At 55.2% G+C, this 21,872-nt stretch overlaps 1 protein-coding gene across 11 annotated transcripts in view, besides 3 other annotated features; it reads left to right on the forward strand.

The window, feature by feature from the left end:
* CDK18 (cyclin dependent kinase 18) overlaps window positions 1-12,189 on the forward strand; it is a 28,122-nt gene extending 15,933 nt beyond the window's left edge. For 4 of the 11 annotated variants that reach the window (XM_047422207.1, XM_047422209.1, XM_047422210.1 and 1 more), the window contains exons 2-13: window positions 2,546-2,696; window positions 2,882-3,114; window positions 3,631-3,756; window positions 4,538-4,594; window positions 5,464-5,578; window positions 5,766-5,860; window positions 6,174-6,236; window positions 7,193-7,316; window positions 7,447-7,567; window positions 8,398-8,495; window positions 8,723-8,828; window positions 8,920-9,651. In XM_047422207.1, the coding sequence (XP_047278163.1) occupies window positions 2,567-2,696; window positions 2,882-3,114; window positions 3,631-3,756; window positions 4,538-4,594; window positions 5,464-5,578; window positions 5,766-5,860; window positions 6,174-6,236; window positions 7,193-7,316; window positions 7,447-7,567; window positions 8,398-8,495; window positions 8,723-8,828; window positions 8,920-9,172 (1,521 nt within the window). In that variant the 5' untranslated portion in view covers window positions 2,546-2,566 and the 3' untranslated portion in view covers window positions 9,173-9,651. The other 7 variants (NM_002596.4, NM_212502.3, XM_011509602.4 and 4 more) reach the window with 3 other exon arrangements.
* Window positions 825-1,650: an enhancer, noted in NCBI's record as "H3K4me1 hESC enhancer chr1:205490554-205491379 (GRCh37/hg19 assembly coordinates)". NCBI's record gives its function as "activates a minimal SCP1, AML or CMV promoter by ChIP-STARR-seq in naive H9 embryonic stem cells {active_cell/tissue: H9 hESC(naive)}" and the evidence as "EXISTENCE:reporter gene assay evidence [ECO:0000049][PMID:30033119]".
* Window positions 8,532-8,651: a silencer, noted in NCBI's record as "silent region_1742". NCBI's record gives its function as "represses an Ori minimal core promoter by ATAC-STARR-seq in GM12878 lymphoblastoid cells {active_cell/tissue: GM12878}" and the evidence as "EXISTENCE:reporter gene assay evidence [ECO:0000049][PMID:35858748]".
* Window positions 15,836-16,337: an enhancer, noted in NCBI's record as "H3K4me1 hESC enhancer chr1:205505565-205506066 (GRCh37/hg19 assembly coordinates)". NCBI's record gives its function as "activates a minimal SCP1, AML or CMV promoter by ChIP-STARR-seq in naive H9 embryonic stem cells {active_cell/tissue: H9 hESC(naive)}" and the evidence as "EXISTENCE:reporter gene assay evidence [ECO:0000049][PMID:30033119]".

The following is a 21,872-nucleotide window of genomic DNA, read 5'->3' on the forward strand; positions in this document are numbered from 1 at the left end:
AGGCATGAGAATCGCTTGAGCCCGGAAGGTGGAGGTTGCAGTGAGCCAAGATCACGCCACTGCACTCCAGCTTGGGTGATAGAGCACGACTCTATCTCAAAAAAAAAAAAAAGAAAAAAGGAAAAAAGAAAATAATTGATCTTTACAAGGAGCCATCTCCACTCTCCTATCTTGCTCGGAAATGGGAGTCACCAGGTAGGTGTGTCTGGGTCCTCTTGTCACTGGGACCCACACCCCCTGCCACCATCATGAAGCCTCCAGATTAGATCTCTGTGGCCTGAATGCTATACACAAGTGTGAGGCATGGTGGCTGCCCTCTGGAAGCTTCCTGTCTGCAAGAGTCCTGCAGACAGCAGGCCTGAGACATTGCACAGAGCCACGGAGGAGCGGCTGAAGATGACTGACAGGAAGGAGTTTAGGGATGGGGAGTCAGGAAAGTCCAAGGCTGGTGGGCTCTGCCAAGGAAGCCAGAGGAAGCGCTTTCAGCTACCTTCTCATCAAAGGAGGCATCACCAGCCCCTGAGTTTCTTGAGAATGGGGACCACCCTTTACTTGCCTCTGAAACCCTCATGCCTGGCACAATGCTGGCGCATAGTAGGTGCTCAGTTTTTTGGTTTGTTTGTTTTTTAAGACAGAGTCTTGCTCTGTCGCCCAGGCAGGAGTGCAATGGCGCAATCTCCACTCACTGCAACCTCCGCCTCCAGGGTTCAAGCAATCCTCCTGCTTCAGCCTCCCAAGTAACTGGGATCACAGGTGCACACCACCATGCCCAGCTAATTTTTTTGTATTTTTAGTAGAGACAGGGTTTCGCCATGTTGGCCAGGCTGGTCTCAAACTCCTGACCTCAAGTAATGCACCTGCCTCAGCCTCCCAAAGTGCTGGGATTACAGGCATGAGCCACCATGCCCGGCCAGTTCATTTGTTCAGTGGAACTGAGTGAGACTTCAGGGCCCACTGACAGAGATGGGCCTGCCTAGCACTGCAGACCCGAGGCCTCCACTCTGAAAGGTGCCAGCCCGCTAAAGGAATGAAGGAGAGCTTGTTCATACCCAGCCATGAGGATCAGGGCAGCTGGAGGGCCACCACTGAGCTGTGTTTGGGGGCAGCCAGGAGCATGCGCTGCCAGACAGAGGACCCTTTCCAGGCTGGCTGAGGACAGAAGGATGTGATCATTAAGCAAAGCCAACATGTTACTGACCCATAATCCCTTAAACCAGGAGGATTCGGGAAGGGCCTGGTCGCCTTGGCAACTAGGTGCTGGCCAGTCGCAGGGCTGAGAGCATCCTCCAGGAGTGGGCTGTGCCTGGTGCTGGTGCATGGGTAACAGCTGGGAGCGGGTGCAGGGCGGCCCATCATAGGGCTCACCCCCTGGTGCCTTCTTGCCAGCATGGGTGGAAGCCCTTGTGAGGCCTCAAGGGCAGTGTGTGCAGAGCAGGATGAGAGGGGGGCTGCACTGAGCGTGTAGGAAACCATGAAGGGAAGTGGAGGGGAGGTGAGACAGCGCTGCTCTGGGTTTTCAGGGCAGGAGGGAGAAGGGAGGGTCTGCAGGAAGAAGCAGTTGCATGGGTCTCATTGGGTGGCCAGCAGGGCATCCTCTAATTCAGAGGGCACGAGGAGCTGGGTAGCCTGAAGAAGAAAGCTTTCATGGTTGGGGACAGGACCGTGGGGGTGGGCAGAGCAGCTTACCCCGCTCCTCCATGGTGTTCTCGGTAGGGGATACCTGCCTGCTTGGAGGGCTCTGGCATGGGAAGAGGCCTGCAGGGATCAAGCCTCATCTTCCCTAGGGCTCGACTCTATTAATGGCAAGCTTCCGTGTTTCCCCTGAGACCTTCCACTGCTCCTGACCTCCTGTATTTCAGCTGGAGAGAAGGTGCAGCTGGCCAGCTCTGATGCACTCTTCCCTTCCTCCTCTTTTTCCCCTCTTGCCTCCTGGGGCATGCCAGAGCAGAGACCTTCAGGTGTCAGTATCAGAGGTGAAATGAGGTTTGGACCCAATCATGTCCCAAGGGTGTTGGCCAAGCTGACATTCAGTTTACGGGCCTTGGTCAGTAAGATTTATTGGCTGTTGACACATTCAGGCCCTTGGACACAAGTTGGTAAATTTCTGCTGGTCCAAGGACTGCCTGGTTCTGGCACCCTCCCTGCCACCCCAGCCCTTCCCCCAGAACTCTCTAGACCTCCAGCAGCTAAAGGGCTTAGGTCTGGGGGGCCTTCAGGATCCTCTTTGCACATCATGCCTGCTATTATGACCAATACTTTGCTGGACTAGGTGGTCCATAGAGAACTGCACAGGGCGTGGCGGGGCGGGCGGTGGGCAGTGGAGGCAGTGCTGAGGGTCACTGGGAGGAAGAAGGTGACTGGGAAGAAGAGGGTGAACACCCACCCTCAGAGGGGTCAAACTTTGCAGAAGACACAACCCTGGCTCCCAGTGATGGTGGCATACAGGGCGACAGAGCTTGATGAGAGAGCTGAATTCCCAGTGGGTGGAGACCTGGACTGGTTGCCTTGTTCTTTTCAACTGCTCTTCTCACACTTCCCATCTCAGGACCCGGCTGCCCAGTCCCTCATGATCATGAACAAGATGAAGAACTTTAAGCGCCGTTTCTCCCTGTCAGTGCCCCGCACTGAGACCATTGAAGAATCCTTGGCTGAATTCACGGAGCAATTCAACCAGCTCCACAACCGGCGGAATGAGAGTGAGGGGTCTGGGCCCACCCAGCACCTCTCCCACCTACCAGACACTCCCCAGTCACCTTCCCCTCCCCGCCCACCCCCTCCCCACTGGCCTTAGGGGAGGAGCACAGCGCTGGGGGAGGGGGGCTACCCTTCTCTCCCTCAGGACAGAGAGGCAGGGAGGGGAGCTGACGCCTGTCCCTCTTAGACTTGCAGCTCGGTCCTCTTGGCAGAGACCCCCCGCAGGAGTGCAGCACCTTCTCCCCAACAGACAGCGGGGAGGAGCCGGGGCAGCTCTCCCCTGGCGTGCAGTTCCAGCGGCGGCAGAACCAGCGCCGCTTCTCCATGGAGGTAAGGGCCTCTGGAGCTCTGCCCCGGCAGGTGGCAGGATGCACGCACAAGGGTGTGCACAGGAGGGCAGCTGCCTTACAGCCAGACTTTGTGAGTTCAAATTCCACCTCTGCCATTCATTAGCTCTGTGACTTTGAGCAAGTTACTCAACCTCTGTGCACCATGGTCTCCTTGTCTTTAAAATGGTCATCATGGATTAAATGGGTTTATCTATGCCAAGTGCTTAGAACATTCCTGAATTTAGCAAGGGCTAGACAATTTGACTATTTGATCCACACACATATGCCCAAGTATATGAAAAAATATACTTACAGAATCGGTGCCTGTAAGGGCATGAGACTGATGTTGCACAGATGGTGATACTGTGGCCCAGAGAGGCAGAGAGTGACCTGGCTGTGCTAAGGTCACACAGCAGCCCCGGGTGTTCACGTGTATGTCTTGAGCACACACTGGGAGCAGCTGTGAGCCTGGGGTCACAGCCTGTGATTGGGCTCTGAATGGTTGTTCTGCAGGGAACGCTAGGTCCAGAGTGAAAGTCTGGAGCCCCACAGCCCTAGCTACCCTGAAACCAACAGTGGTGTCCCCATCTCATCCCTGTCACCACAGGACGTCAGCAAGAGGCTCTCTCTGCCCATGGATATCCGCCTGCCCCAGGAATTCCTACAGAAGCTACAGATGGAGAGCCCAGATCTGCCCAAGCCGCTCAGCCGCATGTCCCGCCGGGCCTCCCTGGTGAGTCCCAAGAGGGTCAGAGGACACAAGGTGGGGTGATATGCCCTCCCCAGCATGGGCATATCAGTCCCAGCTGAGGCCTAGATGGGATTTCGAGGAAGATTCCTGGGCCTCTGGTGCCACCTGCTGGCTTGAGTGCATTCAACTAGCTCGTCCTCCTACATCAACATCCATTTCCTAGATGGGTCTCACTTGGGCTGGAATGGGACTCTAAGCCCACAGTGGGTCCCACGGTCTCCACATGGTTAAGATCAATAGGCCAGCTGGCATGTGCCTTCCAGTCCTAACTGCCTATCAGAGCTGTTTGGGACATCTTACAAAACACAGACTCTACCTCCAGACACCTATAGAATCAGCCTCTCCGGCTAGGGGGTCCAGGAATCCGTCTTGTTAAGGGTTGGATACACCTGAGCTAGAAGTGCGCTGATGAGAGACACAGTCAGAGAGGTGGATTCTGAACTGGACACTCAAGGTACAATGGGAAAAAAGGCAGCACTCACTCTGGAGGAGCTCGTGGTCTCAGTCGGAGACACAGGTAGTCAAGATGTGCAACAATCCCAGGTGCCACAGCTCTGGGCTCTACACTCTTGGCTGTCCTGGGAGGAAGAAACTCACACTTTCACGAGCTCTGTCCTTTATCACAGGGATAAAGGGAAAAGGAGCCCCTTCCACCATGGAGTCTCATCCCTTCCCTCCCAGAGGCTGGAGTTGGGGGAGGCGTCATGTCTGTGGAGCTGCTAAGGGCTTCAAGCTCACGGCATTCTATGTCTCTCCCTCTCAGTCAGACATTGGCTTTGGGAAACTGGAAACATACGTGAAACTGGACAAACTGGGAGAGGTAAGACGCTGGGTTTGGTCTTCTCCGAATAGCCAGGCAGGATGGCTTGGAGGAGGGGCAGACCTCCCTAGTCGGCCCTCTCTGGTCGGCCCTCTCTGGTTGGCCCTCTCCTGGCCCCTGCCCCATAGAGGTGCACAGTCTTGGCTGTGCGCTCTGGCCCAGGCTTTGGCAGGGATTGAAGTGAGCTCAGATCCTGAAGGAGGGCGTGAGGATAGAGTAGCCATGGCCCTGGGCAGAATCCAGTCTTTTTTTTTTCTGCAAGTCCTTCTTGCCTGGGTTCAAAACCTAGCTCCACCATTTACTAGCTCTGTGACCTTTGGCAAGTTACATGACCTCTCTGTGTGCCTCAGTTTCTTCCTCTGTCCAATGAGACAGTAATTGTCCTATCACATAGGGTTATTGTGAGGATTGGGCAGGTTACTGTAATCAGCTTATGTACGGCACACAGACAATGCCTGGCACATAGGAAGTGCTGTGTCACTTAGCTATTTTTGTTGTCACTGTGCAGAGGCCTGGGGTGGGTGAAGGTTTATAGAGAGAGGGAACACACAGCCCTTTCCCTCCAGGAGCCCAAAGAGGTGACCTCTGTGTAAACATCAGCATCGTATAAGGAAGAAAAAACCTGGTGTTATCATAGACGGGCACGCGGCGTGCTGGGGCTTAGAGGAAGGACGGATTCACTCCGACTGGGGAGTCATTAGGGATGCTTCCTGGAGGAAGTAGGCTTTGGAGGAAACAGCATGTCAGTAAAGGGAGGAAGGGCACTCAGGCCCCAGTCGTAGCCCAGGCAGAGGCACAAATGGGGAGGCACTGGACAGAGGCCAGCAGCACCTGAATGCGCCTGGGGCCGCTGTGGCCCTCCATCCCAGGGCACCTATGCCACAGTCTTCAAAGGGCGCAGCAAACTGACGGAGAACCTTGTGGCCCTGAAAGAGATCCGGCTGGAGCACGAGGAGGGAGCGCCCTGCACTGCCATCCGAGAGGGTACAGCATCCTAGGCTCCCACGCTCCCCTGGGGGCTTCAGGAGGAGGGGTTCACCAGCCTGCACCCTTGTGGGAGCTGGGGGTAGAGGATCATTGCTGGAATGGGACTCCTGGCGCTGACCCCAAGAAAAGAGGGTATGGGGACACATGGGGTCCTAGGGACCCAGGTGGATCTGTCTCCTCACAGTGTCTCTGCTGAAGAACCTGAAGCACGCCAATATTGTGACCCTGCATGACCTCATCCACACAGATCGGTCCCTCACCCTGGTGTTTGAGTACCTGGTGAGAGTCCGGCTGGGGCTGGCCGCCTCTCCCTCTTGTGGTGGAAACGGGGTGTGGGTAGGGGAGTGGGAAGCTGAGGGAGTGGGAGTAGTGGGATGAGGGCGACCCAGGCCTTGTTCTGGAATCAGATTTTCAGATGCTCCCGTGCAGGAGTGGGCCAAGAGCTCAGGCTTACGGGTGGCTCGAGCCAGGGACCTGTCCCACTAGTGGGCGTGGGCCCTTCCCAGGGAGGGGCTTCCTCTCCTCAGCCTGTGTCTGGGCTTCTGGCCAGGGGTCAGCGTGGGGCAGGACTGAGCCACGCTCTGTGTTCCAGGACAGTGACCTGAAGCAGTATCTGGACCACTGTGGGAACCTCATGAGCATGCACAACGTCAAGGTGAGGCCTCGGGGGCAGGGTCCCCCCATCTTGGCAGCCACCTGTCCAGAAGCCCAGTGTGGGGACCCACTCTCACCACCAGGGATCCGGCTGCTGAGGTGGCTCAGACCTTCCCACGTAGGAAAGAGGGAGAGGGCAATGCCATCAACGAGTCCAGGAACTGGGTTGAGCGCTTTACCCCAAGAACAGACACACACTGTCTGCCACTGTCTAGCTGTTGGTATAAAACCCACTCTCAACTCTGAACATCAGTTTCCCAGTCTGTCAAATGGGAGTGTGAGCTACCTGCCAAAATGCAGGGAGGCTTCTGGGGAAGCTCGGGGTTATGAATGACCTCTCCTGGTGTTTGTTAAAGAATCAAGGCTGGGCATGGTGGCCCACGCCTGTAATCCCAGCACTGGGAGGCCAAGGCAGGAAGATGGCTTGAGCCCAGGAGTTTGAGACCAGCCTGGGCAACATGGCAAGACCTCATCTCTACTAAAAATTGAAAAATTAGCCGGGCACAGTAGCGTGCACCCATAGTCCCAGCTGCTTGAGAGGCTGAGGCAGGAGGGCCACTTGAGCCCGGGAGGTTGAGGCTGCAGTGAGCCATGATCACACCACTGCACTCCAGCCTGGGTGACAGAGTAAAACCCTGACTCTAAAAGAAAAAAAAAAAAAAAAGGGATCAAGCACATATGTCTCCACATAGGCGGGCATCCTGACCCCCGTGCTCCTGACTGAGACTTCGCTGGCCTCCCCCACACTCACTGCGTCCTCTGCACCCCTGCTGTCCTCCCCTCTGGATGGGATTCCCTGGTGTGGGTGGGGTCCAGGATGGGGGCTGCAGGGTGTGCAGGAGAATGAGGGGCTTGTGCTGACCTCACTGCCAAGCCCCTGCCCCCATCCTGGTCCCAGCCTTGGAGCAGAGGCTCAGGGCCACCTTCCACCCCACATTTCTCTTCCCCCTCCCCCAGATTTTCATGTTCCAGCTGCTCCGGGGCCTCGCCTACTGTCACCACCGCAAGATCCTGCACCGGGACCTGAAGCCCCAGAACCTGCTCATCAACGAGAGGGGGGAGCTGAAGCTGGCCGACTTTGGTGAGGCTGGGGCTAGGGTGGGGGTCTGACGCTACTGGGGTGCCTCAGGGTGTGGGTGCAGTGGGGGAGGGCATAGCAGTCAACCCCACAGCACCTGTGGACAGAGGTCCAGTGACATGTCTGCCCCCAGGACTGGCCAGGGCCAAGTCAGTGCCCACAAAGACTTACTCCAATGAGGTGGTGACCCTGTGGTACAGGCCCCCCGATGTGCTGCTGGGATCCACAGAGTACTCCACCCCCATTGATATGTGGTGAGTGAGCACTGTGGGGACCGAGGAGGGGAGGACAGGCCTGGCCACACCTCCAGACTCTCCTTTGCTTCCCCAAGGGCCTCGGGGAAGAACTGCCTAACTTCCTTTGCCTAAAAGCCTTGTGACATCCTGCTGAAATGGATGTTAAAAAATTAGGTCTGAAATATAATAGGTTAGGGTTTCCCTGGCTTAAATAGACCCCCAAGCCTGTGCATTTGAAATCCTCCCCCAGAGGCCTGTGGGGGGTTACCAGAGACCCAGAGGGTCCAGGAGGGCCCCTATAGTAAATACGATGAATCTTCCCCAAGCATCAGTCCCAGTGAAAATTTTGAAAGAGAAGTACTATTTTTATGTTAAAATGAACAAGTGTATGATTTGGTGTAAAATGAAAAATCAGCCCAAATTGCAAGCCAAGCCGCCGGTGGTTATGAATGGCTGCTGTGACTCCGCCCCAAGGTTCCCCAGGAGAATGGATTTATGTACTTCTCTTCCAGTGGGGCACACAGTGGAGAGAGTTTGAGACAACACTGCTGAGAGAATTGCCACATGGGCGCTGGCTGCACAGACCCAAACCTCACAGAGTGAAAGGGGACTTTCCTCACAGAGTGAAAGTCGCAGCTTTCCCGAGCCCAGGGAAGCCCCCCAGAGAGGGGCTGTAGTGGGGGCTGGGCAGTTCTAGGAGCCTCCACTGCCCTGGGCCACCCCTCCGCCGCCAGAGCCACGATCCCTGCAGCCGCCTGTGGCAGGTCGTCATTGGTGCCCTGGTGGAGCAGCCCTAGGAAGGGCGGCCGCCCCTGCCTGATGCCGACCCTACCCCTTGCTCCTCGCAGGGGCGTGGGCTGCATCCACTACGAGATGGCCACAGGGAGGCCCCTCTTCCCGGGCTCCACAGTCAAGGAGGAGCTGCACCTCATCTTTCGCCTCCTCGGTCAGTCTCCCGCTGCTCCGTCCCTCTCACCACCAGGGGGCGCCGGAACTCCTCCAGCCCAGGCGCGGAGCGGGACGGGGAGGAGCGGCTCGGCCGCCTCTCTCCCGGGCGGGGACCCCCTGTGGCCTCGGCCATCTTTGCTCCCACCTCATACATTGCATCCCTTTCAAGTCGGCCTTGGCCCTGGGCCTCACGCAGGCCCTCCCCACCCTCTCTCGTCTCCCCAGGGACCCCCACAGAAGAGACGTGGCCCGGCGTGACCGCCTTCTCTGAGTTCCGCACCTACAGCTTCCCCTGCTACCTCCCGCAGCCGCTCATCAACCACGCGCCCAGGTAGCCCCTGCGCCCGCCGCCCCTCCTGCTGCGGCCCTGGCTCTCCCATCCCCAATCAGGCACAGCCTGTGTCCGCGCCTTCTCCTTGCAGGTTGGATACGGATGGCATCCACCTCCTGAGCAGCCTGCTCCTGGTGAGTGTCCTCCCGGCGGGGCCCAGGGAGAGGCAGCCAAAGAGCCAGGTCCCTGTGCCCCATGCCGGGCCTACGCCCCAACTTCTGTGGCTCGTGTGCTTACACGTCTTTGAAACATCTCCCCTGTACTCTCCACCCCCAAGGCCAAGGGGTGGCCTCCATACACATCCTCTGGAGTCTGTGCACTGCGAGCCCAAACCCGTTACTTAGCTGTGTAGCTCTGGGCAAGTTACAGAGCTCCTCCATGCCTCAGTTTCCTCAGCTGCAAAGTGGGATTAATACCTATTTTATAAGATGGCCGTGAGGATACATTGAGATGACGGGACACACTTAGTGTGGTGCCTGTCTTGTAAGGCACACGATGAAGGGTTGTTATCGGCACTACGCTTCCTGTTACGGATGTTCTCCATCTGATCATGGTTGGTTTGCATCTGTATTTCTATCCCAAGAGAAGGTCACTCTCCTGAAGTTTCATTTCTGGTTTTTCCTGGTGGCTGGAGACCGAGGAGCCTTCCCCTGAGTCTTGAGATGGCCTGAGGTTGGGTTTGTGGTAGGGGCTGGAGGCTGACCTGGGGCTTCTCCTGTTAGCCTCAAGCCTCACCCACCTTGGTGCTCTAACCAGCACTGGAGTCCTGCTGCCCAGAGGGTTTGCAGCCCCCCAGCCGGGCCCAATAGCCCCACCCTGTGCCTTTCAGTATGAATCCAAGAGTCGCATGTCAGCAGAGGCTGCCCTGAGTCACTCCTACTTCCGGTCTCTGGGAGAGCGTGTGCACCAGCTTGAAGACAGTGAGTACTGGGGGTCCGGGAGCAGGGCCACCCAGAACCAAGGAAAGGGGTTGGTGAGTGTGGGCAGAAGAACCAGAACAAAGAGGCCAGAGGCCCCAGCCCCAGCAGAGCAGCCCCGGGCACCTTGCCTCCCCTGCTGGGGTTCTCATTCCAAATTGAGGGGGCAAACAGTGGAAATGAGACGCTGCCTCGAGGGCTCAGTTGGTCCTTCTGGGCCAGTCCTTACTGGAGGCCAGCTCCACGCAGCCCTCTCCAGACTATGCACTTCTCTCCCCCAGCTGCCTCCATCTTCTCCCTGAAGGAGATCCAGCTCCAGAAGGACCCAGGCTACCGAGGCTTGGCCTTCCAGCAGCCAGGTAGGGGCTTGTGCTCTCCTGGACCCCTCCCCTTGTTAGTGGAAGCCAGAGCAGGCGACCCCTCCCCAGTGGGGACTCCCATGGTCCCCCCACCACTGGCTTCCCTTTGGACTCTTTGGGGAGCAGAGAAGGGGTTGGTTTCTCCTGCCTAGACTTCCTCGTCCAGCTCTTCCCTCCTCAACCCTCCACCCCAGACAGGACATTGCATTTGACAGTAGCCCTGGCAAAGAGGCATGCTGTCTCTGGTGCATTCTCTCTGCAAACCCTGAGCTCTCTAATCAGATTCCATCCTGGGAGAACGGTACTTTGTTCCTAGAACAGTCAATGGCCTTGGACATTGACAAATGCTTTCCATGCATCGTCTTCTTTAATCCTTAAAATACCCCTTGAAGCTAGTACTATTAATATTCCCCATTTCATAGTCAATGAAACTGAGGCTCTGGGAGGTTAAGTCACAAGTTCATGCAGCTAGTAAGTAGCAGAGATGGGATTTGACACCAGGTCAGACCGGCTCCTGTTTGCATGCCCTTGCTTGCTCTGTCAGAGCAGCTCTGGGGGACAGCGACTGTCCCTGCTGACCTGGGGTACCCGTCAGCCCAGCCTCCTCCCTGCAGCCCCACCTCTTCTCCATTCTCCAGGACGAGGGAAGAACAGGCGGCAGAGCATCTTCTGAGCCACGCCCACCTTGCTGTGGCCAAGGGACAAGAGATCACATGGAGCACAAATTCGGGTAGGATGGAGCCTGTGTGGCCCTCGGAGGACTGAAGAACGAGGGCTGACAGCCAGCCTGGAAGACCGCTTGGCAGCCCTTCTGGCCACGGCTGTTTCTTCTTTGTGCTTCCCGTGTGCCTCCCCAGTAGCCCTCACCTGCATACCAACCCCTCCTTTACCCACGTTGGGGCTGGCATAAGCTGCTTCCCTGAGAGGACATGAGGGGGGGGCGGTCCTCGTACCCTCTCCCACCCTGGTGTTTGGGCACCTGCGTGGGATGCACACGGATGACAGAATCAAGGCGCCAGGATGGGCACTCTGCCCTGGATACAGGCTCTACCCTCCTCCCCCAGGACCTGCCTAGTGCCAGTTTGGTAGTCCCCCTTTCTGGCCCCTTGGAGCCCACACACGTTTCATCTTTTTCCCCTCTGAGAGCAAGAAGAGACATGGCATGTTCTCTGGGACCCTGGAATCCTAGGTACCCACATGTGTGCCAAAGCCTACCCCACCTGGCAGGTGTCCCACAGCAACAGAAGGAATAGTAGTCCCCACTCTTTCCATCAGCCCTACCCTACCCTCATTCCCCGACACCCTCTGGCTTGAACCATGGCTGAGCAGTGCCGGCATACGCTTTGCTGGCATGCTTGGATGCCCAGCTGTGTCCAGAGGTGGCCTGGGACCGCCAGTTGCACGCCTGCCACCTCAGCCAGCCCCCGCCCAGCTCATCAGTCTGAATGGAGTTGCCTTAAATTGGCAGGTGGTACCGTACTCACTGCCCTTGGAGCTGTGACCGGCTCCTGCCTGTCCACCCCTTCCCGAGGTGGCTCCTGCTTACCTTATCATCCCAGGGCTCTGATTAGCCAGGCCTGGTCAGGGTCCTGGGGACGGCACCCAGATATGCAGAGTCACCCTGACACTGGTGCCAGGCTGACCTCAGCTCCCGAAGGCTCGCACAGCCTCCCCATCCTTCCTTCCCAGCCCTTGTGGCTCTGTCCACCTGATCCCAATACCAGCTTCCCCCAGCCCCTGCCACCCCAGAGGGCGGCCACGACAGGGAGAGGTGTAGATGCCACCATCTGAGGGAGAGGAACGTGGAACAGGAGCAGGCTCTGATGCTGAGAGGCTTGCCTCCGGGGGCTGGAAGCCTGGGTGGCCGGGGCCCCTGAAGAAGGCTCCCCTCTGTATCCCCCAGGTCTCCTCAACACTGGGCTGATCCTGAATGGCACAGGCCAAGGGGAGGCCAGCCTCGCCTTTCTACCCAGGCCCCCTGCCCTGCCCACCTCAGGCCCCCACCCTCCACTCCTCCCCACGGTACTGTGAACGTCGTGTGACTCAGTGCAGAGACAGATAATATATTTAATTCATGTACAGAAAGGAGCGAGCAGTCTCGTACAGAAAAGCTGACTTTGATAGATTGATGCCAAAGATGGAGAACTGAAGTCCCCCCTCCAGGCCTAATGAGTGTGGGTGGGGTGTGCTTGTGTGTATGTGTGTGTGTGTGTGTGTGTGTGTGTGTGTGTGTATATATATATATATATATATATATATATAGTGAGGAGAGAGTTTGATTTGTGTGTATCTCTGACCTCCCCTACACCCCAGGCTGTGGGACGAGTGCCTAGCATTCACCTTGCTGTATCCTGGGTGCTGCTGCGTTCAGAGCCAGAAGTTGGCTCTTGCTGAGGAGCATCAGTGGTTGTTGTGGGTGGGCAGAGGAGTCCCAGGCCTGGGAGTCTGACCTGTGGCCTGGCATTGGCCCAAGTTGGTGCCTGTGGGGTGGGGCTGGCCAGGAGAGCAAAGAGGGACCCCTGGGCGGGGGTCTGGGGTCTGGCCGTGCAGCTAATCCCTGTGTTCCTGATGCCAAATGGCCCCCTGGCTTCTGGGGAGGGAGGTAGGCAAGATCAAGATGAGGTTGACATGGGAGATGGCCAAGGCCAGGGCAGCAGGACGAGGGTGTGGGCCTCACTGTAATTCAGGCTCTGCAAGAATTGCTGCAGACCTCGAATACACCTCCTGCTGCTGCCTAGACCGCCTCCCCACCTTTGATCTGGACACAACCCACCCCCGCAACACATCATACACAGCTCCCAAAGTGCTCAGAGTCCTGCTGTTGTCCAGTTCGGTGTCCAGGTTTGTTCTTCCCGAGACCACTCTGAGAATGCCAGGCCCGAAACCCTGCCTCCTGACCTGTCCTCATGCCTGGCCTTAAGCACTTTGCAGTTTGCCGGCATGGTTTGCAGTTACTTAAGAGGGTGGCTGCTTTCCAGAGGAGGAAGCTGATGCTGAGGTTGATGATGTCTCCCAAGGCTCTGGAAGTAAGGGGCGGGCCAGGGCTCCATTCTCAGCTCAGCACCAGTTCTACCGAAGGAGACCTCCTCACTTTGCTTGTAGGCAGCCAGACACCAAAGTAGGGTCGTAACTCAGACAATTAGTGCTTGAGGGGAGGAGAAGGGCTGGGAAATGCATTGGTGGGAATTGGAAACCAGACATTTATTAAGTTCCCTGCTGGGTGCCAGGCAGCCCTGTGCCCAGGCATTGTCTCACTGAATCCTCATAGAAACCCCCCTTTCTCCCCACTTTGCAGATGAGGACAGGAGCCTCCCAGGGGTAGCCTGGGGTCACATACCAAATTAGAATCCCAGGTGTCTGCCCCCCAGCCCTGTGGTCTTTAAGGAGTGGGAGGCGTGGGGAGGGTGAGGTGGAGATAGTGCAGAGGCCCTGGAGGGAGGAAAACACACAAGGAAGGATATGGGCAGATGCTGCCTTGAGGAGCACTTTGCAAGGCAACTCTTGTGGCAGGCAGAGGTGGCCCAGAGTCGCTGGGGGCAGCCGTTCTTGCTGCTGCAGCTGTGGCCCTGCTGAGGAGGCACACACCTAGGGGCTTCTGACATCAGGCATGCTGAGCTTCTGCCCTAGAAAGCTGCCAGGGCTGGGAGTGCCGGCCAGCCTGGGGGTGTGGAACTCAGCTGGACAGGCCTACACCAGGCCTTGGATATGATTGGTGCTCAAAAAGTGATGGCTCCGGAGAAGGAAGCTGGGTTCGGGTGTGAAGAGGGGCTGAGTGATTTTGGCCATGAGCTGCCACTGGGCTCCCAGGGACCAGGCTGAGCTACAACCCAACCCAGTGTCCTGGAGCCCTCGGTTTCCTGGGCACCCCTGCAATCATTTCCTTATGCCGGTGACTCTCAAAAACAGGAGCCTGCCCCATTCTGCTGGAATCCCCGGCCCAAAGCAGCCTTTTACAAGTCATTCCCCCTCAGGCCTCACTTGTCACCTGCCTGCTTCTGGGACAGGTCAGGAATATCCAGGGTGCAGATGCCGTCCCCTCCACCATGGCCACTTGGCAGGGGCATTTGAGGCATGTAGCAGCCCTGCAGCTTCAGACAAAATGTCCTATTTGCTGAACTCTACAGGGTGGGGGTGATATCAGCTCCTGTGCTTGGCACTGCCCACATCATCTTGCACCCCGGTGGGACCTGGAGCTCGCTCTCCCCTGCCCCACCCTCCTGTGGGCTCCCATTCACCCTGCCCCTACTCTCTGGGTCCAGTGGTCAGGGCTGATGTCTAATAGGCCACCACTCCTCTACCCTGCTAGGCCCCCTGGGTCAGCCAAGTGTCAGACACTGTTGCAGGCCTGCTCCTTTCCTCCCTTCTTGAAGCATCCCAGCCTCCTTTGGGCCATCTCCCCACCTCTATCACTGCTCAGACCCTTGCTTTTGGCCGTGACACTCTACAGCACCCCAGTGAGCCCCTCTATCTCCAGAGCAAATCATCAGCACCATGAATTAGCCACAGCCTCCTCCATGCCTGGCCCTGTGCTAGATGCCAGGGACACCAAGATGCATGACATTCCACCCCTACCTTCCAGAAGCTCAGACCTGCCGGCAGAGATGGCCTTGATTACAACAGGTTTTCTCAAGAACCCACTGTGCACCCGGTGCTGTGCTAGGCACTGAGGATACAGCCGTGAACAAGATGGCCAAGCCCTACTCTCATAGAGCTTATGTTCCAGTGGGGGGTATAAGACGTTATCCAAACCAACAGGCATATCAAGGGGTCATAAGTGTGATGAGACAAAATAAGGCAGGGGCAGGTTTGAGGGGGAAGAATGTGATGGCATAGGGAGGGGAACTGCCTGGTCAGGGAGGGACCTCTCCATCAAAAATGAGCTATGGGCTGGGCGTGGTGGCTCACACCTGTAATTCTGGCACTTTGGGATGCCAAGGCAGGCAGATCGCTTGAGCCCAAGGGTTTGAGATCAGCCTGGGCAACATAGCGAGACCCCGTCTCTATTTAAAAAAAAATTAGCTGGGTGTGACGGCTCATGCCTGTAGTCTCAGCTACTCAGGAGGCTGAGGTAGGAGGATCACTTGAACCCAGGTCGAGCCGCAGTGAGCAGTGATCATGCCACTACCATCCAGCCTGGGCAATGGAGTGAGACCCTGTACCAAAAAAAAAAAAAAAAAAAAAAAAAGTGAGCTATGTTGTGTAAGGGGGCCAGGTGGACAGCCAGGGACAGAGTATTCCAACAAAGGCCCTGAGGTGAACGTACTTGAGAATGAGTGAGAGGCAGTGAGGCCAGGGCACAGTGAGCCAGGCAGCATGGCAGGAGGGATGTATCATGTGGGGCAGTGGCTCTGCCCATTAGATCCACCTGGGAAGTGCTTAAGATCCACTGCCATCCGGCCCCAGCTCAGATTGATTCAGATGACCCTAACATGTATCCAGGGTTGAGAACCGCTCACTCGTGCGGGGTCTTGCGGGCTGTGGTACGGGTTCTGGATTTTATTCTGAGATGGGAAGCCACTGGCCTCTGTTTTTAAAGGCTCAGAGGGTCAAATAGGAGATGTCAGCCCCTATAAGGAGGGTGATGGGGCAGGGAGAGGAAGGATCCCCCAGGTGGTGGTAGAGCAGCAGCAGGTGTGGTGGGAAGGGAGAAGGGAAGCACCTGCTCTCCTGTGTTGCTGCGAGAGGGACTGTCATCCTAATCCCAGGGAGGGCCACAGAGGCTCTAGGGTTAGGTGACCTGCATGGCCACACAGGGAGTAAGGTGGACTGTCAATTACAACCCAGGTCAGCCTACCTGAGCAGCTGCCTCCGGGCAGGTGTGGGCACTGGCACGGACACTCCACCTCACTTGTTTGCATGGAGGATGGGCATCTGGTTTCCAGGGACTGGGAAATCCTTGCCTTCTGGTCACCTAAAAGCATTGTCTGACAGGCAGCCAGTTGACACCTGGGGGTTGGGCAAAAGTCACTATCCCCCACCCCACCAAGTGCCCCCTGAGTGATGACTCAGCCCCTCTTCCGGACCCTCAGAACCTCCCACCATCTGCCAACTAAAAGCATCATTGGGCACCAGGGCCCTGCTCCCGCCCTAGCTGTGGAGGCCCGGTGGCTGGCATCATTGCTGATGGTCAGTGCCCAGACTCCAGGGAGTGTGTGCCAATTCTCCTAGACAGGACGGGTGGGGCCAAGGGCAGCTCTGATGAGATTGCAGGTGCCACGTGGCCACTCCCGCTTCCTCCCTTGTTTTCTCCTCTTCCTTCTTCCTGCTTCTTTTTACTTCTCTCAGTGCCCCTTGGGGGCACTAGGTATTACTCAGTGGGCGGCCCTGAGTAATACTGAAACCCAGAGATCAATAATTTGACCCAGCCTCTTGTCTAAGGAAGGAGATTTTGCAGCCTCTCCCTTGAATCAACCCAAGCCTCCAGTCCCTGAGATGTGTTCTCAATGCCAAGCATCAACCCTTGCTCCTGCATCCCTGGGCCCTTCCTGGTGATGTGACGCAAACATGGAGAGCTGAAGCATGGACAGGGCGTGGCAGGGAGGATCCCCGCTGCCCTCCTGCATGTGGTCAGCACTCCTGCTTGCCCCTTTCTGGGCTAGAAACTTCTAGCCCAGTTCCTCATCTTCCTGTCTCCTCCAGAGCTCCTCCCTCCCTAATTTACTCATTATCCATCAGATGGTTCCAGACTCTGTGCCAGGCTCTGTTTTCAGTACCCAGGATACAAACTTGACCCTGACTTAGACCCCACTCCCAGGAGCTCAGCATCTCAGAGGCGGCTAGGATAATCTTTTCTTCCTCTCAGCTTCTTAAGGTCTCAGCTACTTGGGGGAAAGACAGTTGTCCATTAGTCATTCTATTAAAATTTCCTAAGGTTTTTTTTTTTTTCAAGAACAATAAAATGTTTTAATGTCCTCATGTTTTCCCTGGAGGAGAGATTGGCTAAGTCCTAGGTTCCTGGGAAGAAGGAATCTTGAACAACCAGGGAAATAACACACAGGCTCCAAAATCACAGACTTGGATTCAAATCCCAGCTCTACGGCTTGCAAGCTGTGTCACCTTGGGAATGTTCCTTAACTGCTCTGTGCCTCAGTTTCCCTCTCTGTAAAACGGAGATAGTGATAACACCTATTTCACAAGGTTGTGAGGATTTAAGAATGAATATTCAGGCCGGGCGCAGTGTCTCATGCCTGTAATCCCAGCCCTTTTGGAGGCCGAGGCGGGTGAATCACTTGAGGCCAGGAGTTCGAGACCAGCCTGGCCAACATGGTGAAGCCCCATCTCTATTAAAAATACAAAAATTAGCCGGGCGTGGTGGTGGACCCCTGTAATCCCAGCTACTTGGGAGGCTGAGACAGGAGAATTGTTTGAACCCAGGAGGTGGAGGATGCAGTGAGCTGAGATCGTGCCACTGCACTCCAGCCTGGGTGACAGAGTGAGACCCTGTCTCAAAAAAAAAAAAAAAAAAAAAAAGACAAAAAGAGAATGAATATTCAGGAGGGGCCTGACCCAGAGTGCTAGGTGAGTGAGCTTCACATCCTCACTCTGCACACTCCCACCCACTTCTCCACAAGCAGGAATTCCAGCTTCCTCCCTCCTGGAAGTAAAGTGGAAGATCATATGCTTTTATTTCTTGCATTCTTCACTCTTGATAAGATCTCAATCAGCAAGAATGTATTAAGAACATCCTACTTAAAAGATTTTGCAAGACTTTTAAAATGACCTCAGCCCAGAGTTTTTTCTCCACGGAAGCTTTAAACGTAGCTGGGGAAGTAAACATGGAAAGAGAATTTATGATAAAAGGCACTGGGTCAGGCGTCACTCAAAGTGGATCCGCTGCCTCTTGAGGTAGTAAGTGCTTTGTCCCCCAGACTGGGAAACCACTTGGGAATTCCAGGGGCATCACTGCCTCTGGTATGTCTTGCCAGGTTCCTGAGGAGCCAGCAGCCAGATCTGCACCTGGCCTGACCCTATTCCTTGGATCTTTCTTTTTTGCTGTGCGGAGTAGCAAGGTGTAACTGGCAGATGAGATACCTTCCTCAGAGAAGCCAGAGGAATGTGGCAAAGCATGATCCTGGGCTTGCAAACACCCTTCTCCTTGGATTCCAGGATGCCAGGGGTATCCTCTCAGGCCTGTCACTGGCTTTGAGGCCAGACTTGGCTTTTCAGGACCTGAGACTGATTCTGGGGTGTGGGAATGAACTAATCTGGGACTTTTTTTTCTTTTTTTTGAGACAGTCTCACTCTGTTGCCTAGGCTGGAGTGCAGTGGCATGATCTTGGCTCACTACAACCTCTGCCTTCTGGGTTCAAGCGATTCTCATGCTTCAGCCTCCCAAGTAGCTGGGATTACAGGCATGTGCCACCATGCCCAGTTAATTTTTGTATTTTTAGTGGAGATGGGGTTTCGCCCTGTTGACCAGATTGGTCTTGAACTCCTGGCCTCAAGTGATCCACCTGCCTCGGCCTCCCAAAGTGCTGGGATTACAGTCATGAGCCACCATGCCCAGCCCACAATCTGAGATTCTTAAAGCTCGAGTTGATGAGAGTAGGAGGGCCACCTCAGGGAACAGGAGATGGGGCCAGAGGTTAGGGCTCAGTACTGTTTCCTGCCTTGGGCAGATGCCTTGAGTGGGTACCTTCAGCCACCTGTGATTCCACACCTCCAGCCAGTGTTCCACTTGGTAATGGAATTTACTGCCTGGCTTCTCTGTAGAAGATGAGTGGGGGTGGGGCGAGGTTGAGATTTATAAGCAATAGAGGCAGTGCTGTGCCAGGCTGCCTCAGCCTAAGTCCTGGCACCACCACATCCTAGTTGTATGAACTTAGCCACATCGCATGGCTTCTCTCTGCCTCAGTTTCCCCACCTACAAAATGGGGTGATCATAGGATGAGTGTGGATTAAATGAATTAGTACATGAAAAGCACGCAGAGCCCAGGCACGGTGGCTCACACCTGTAATCCCAGCACTTTGGGAGGCCGAGGCGAGCAGATCACAAGGTCAGGAATTCGAGACCAGCCTGGCCAACCAACATAGAGAAACCCCGTCTCTACTAAAAATACAAAAATTAGCCAGGCATGGTGATGCACACCTGTAATCCCAGCTACCCAGGAGGCTGAGGCAGGAGAATCGCTTGAACTGGGAGGCGGAGGTTGTGGTGAGCCAAGATTGCGCCACGGCACCCCAGCTTAGGCAACAGAGCAAGACTCCGTCTCAAAAAAAAAAAAGAAGAAGAAGAAGAAGGAGGAGAAGGAGGAGGAGGAGGAGGAAGAGGAAGAGGAAGAGGAAGAATAAGAAGAAGAAGAGCACGCAGAATTTACTGGTCATGTAGAAAGCATTACACAGTGTAAGCTGTTGTTATGTCATCTTTCCCTGAGGGTAGAAGCAGGCATCACCCACCTTCTCTGTTTCACTGTGAGGGCTGTGACCAGGAGGCAAAGGCTTCTTACTAAAAGGAGGAATGGTTCCGTGGGGCACACAAGTGAATAAAACCCTTTCTGTCTATGGAGAACTACCTGTCCTCCCAAAATGCCATTAGAGTTTGGGAATTCTGGTGTCCCTTACTCTAACAGATACCGATGTTAGGCAAAAGGCTATGAACTTAACAAACATTACCTAAATTTTAAAACTTTTTAAAAGTTAAGAGACAAATCTTTTGGGGGCCAGGCACGGTGGCTCACGCCTGTAATCCCAGCACTTTGAGAGGCCGAGGCAGGTGGATCACCTGAGGTCAGGAGTTCAAGACCAGTCTGGCCAACATGGTAAAATCCCGTTTCTATTAAAAATACAAAAATTAGCCGGGCATGGTGGCATGCACCTGTAATCCCAGCTACTCAGGAGGCTGAGGCACAAGAATTGCTTGAACCCGGGAAGCGGAGGTTGCAGTGAGCTGAGATGGTGCCACTGCCCTCTAGCCTGGGCAACAGAGTGAGAGTGTCTCAAAAAACAAAGAAAAAAAAACTCCCTGGGTCCAGGTCCGGTACTCACACCTGTAATCCCAGTGCTTCAGGAGGCTAAAGCGGGAGGATTACTTGAGGCAAGGAGTTCGAGACCAGGCTGGGCAATATAGCAAGACCTTGTTTCTACAAATATTTAAAAAGTAGCCAGGCATGGGGGTGCATGCCTGTAGTCCCAGCTACTCTGGAAGCTGAGGCAGGAAGAGCGCTTGAGCCTAGGAGTTTGGGCTGCAGTTAGCTCTAATTGCACCACTGCACTGGAGCCTGGGCGACAGGGCAAGACCTTGTCTCAAAAAAAAAAAAAAAAGTCTCCTTGGCTTAGACCACTCTGTGAAACACTAGAGATTCAGAAATAAATAAACAGTGTTCTATCCTCAAGGAATTCACAGCCTGGTAAAGGAGAGAGATATCGGTTGCAGAAATGTGGTAGGGATTATCCCAGAGATTGTAAACAGCTGCCCAGATGACTTGCTCCTTCCACCTCCCTCCACTCCCCTTCCTCAGCCCCTGCAGTACCTACCTGGTTTGCAAGCCTTGTAAACTGAGTTGGGCCTCACTGCTAGGCTCATAGCTGTGAATGAAAATATGAGTGAATACAAACATGAAATGTCTGCTACATTAGGAACTTGCTGGAACCCACTCTTGCCTGGCCAGCTCTCTCCCTTCCCTTCCATGCAGCAGCAGGCACCTCGGGCTACCCCTGCTGCCTTGAGCTTAGACTTTAGACTCGAGTCCCCATTTACAGTCACGGGGTACAGCCAATCTTGTTTCTAAGGTGTTTCCAAACTCTACTCCCCAACCTCCACTCCTAGGTGTTCCTGGGCTGCAGAGGGCCTCCAGAGAGGCTTCAGGACATTCCACTGACTGTCCCACTGTCACCACTAAGGGTTGAGCCTCCTCGCTAGCAAGGTGCCTAAGCCCCTTGTACCCTGGCTCCGACTTCTTTGCATACTCTGCAATCTTGCTACTAGACCAAGGACCCATTTTCCCCAAGGGCACCTCCTACCTTAAGCCCTTGTGCCTGAGTCTGTCCACGTTCCCTCTGTTTGGACTTCCTTCCTTCCTTCCAGCTCCCTGCAGCACCAGTTCCAGTTCAGTCACTGTGCCTTGGGCAAACTCCCTCACCTGGCTGAGACCTTGGTGCTTTTGTCCCTACAATGAAGGTGGGTCCTGGATGCCCTCAGAGTCTCATTCTTGCTCCTGGATGTTACATAAACCTGTCTGCTGTCACTTTCGTGTTTTATAATCCCCCCTCTTCTTCTTTCAAACATGCCTCAAACTCCCTTCCTCCAGGAAGCCTTCCTTAATCAGCCCCGTGAATGCTCCCATATGTGCTCAGTTCTGGTGGTAGCAAGTGGGCCTATGCCAGTGCTGGTGCCAAGGGGTCCACAGGGGCCTTAGCTCCCTCATAACCTCCATTGCCTGAAAGGCCACCCAAATACCTATAACCTAAGTGAAAAACAGAGCTTAGCATAGAAACAGTGACCACTTCTCAGTAAATCCCCCAAGCATTCTCCCAATCCCCAACCAGACCTACCCCAAGCCAGACAGTCTAGAAATTCTAGTTGTCTATAGTCTACACTTTTTATTTTTTTGGAGACGGAGTCTCGCTCTGTCACCCAGGCTGGAGTGCGGTGGCGTTATCTTGGCTCACTGCAACCTGCACCTCCTGGATTGAAGCAATTCTTCTGCCTCAGCCTCCCAAGTAGCTGGGACTTACAGGCACATGCCACCATGCTCGGCTAATTTTTTGTATTTTAGTAGAGACGGGCTTTCATCATGTTGCCCAGGCTGGTCTTGAACTCCTTAGCTCAG

The sequence above is a fragment of the Homo sapiens genome, chromosome 1, assembly GCF_000001405.40.
Source record: "Homo sapiens chromosome 1, GRCh38.p14 Primary Assembly".
Lineage (NCBI taxonomy): Eukaryota > Metazoa > Chordata > Mammalia > Primates > Hominidae > Homo > Homo sapiens.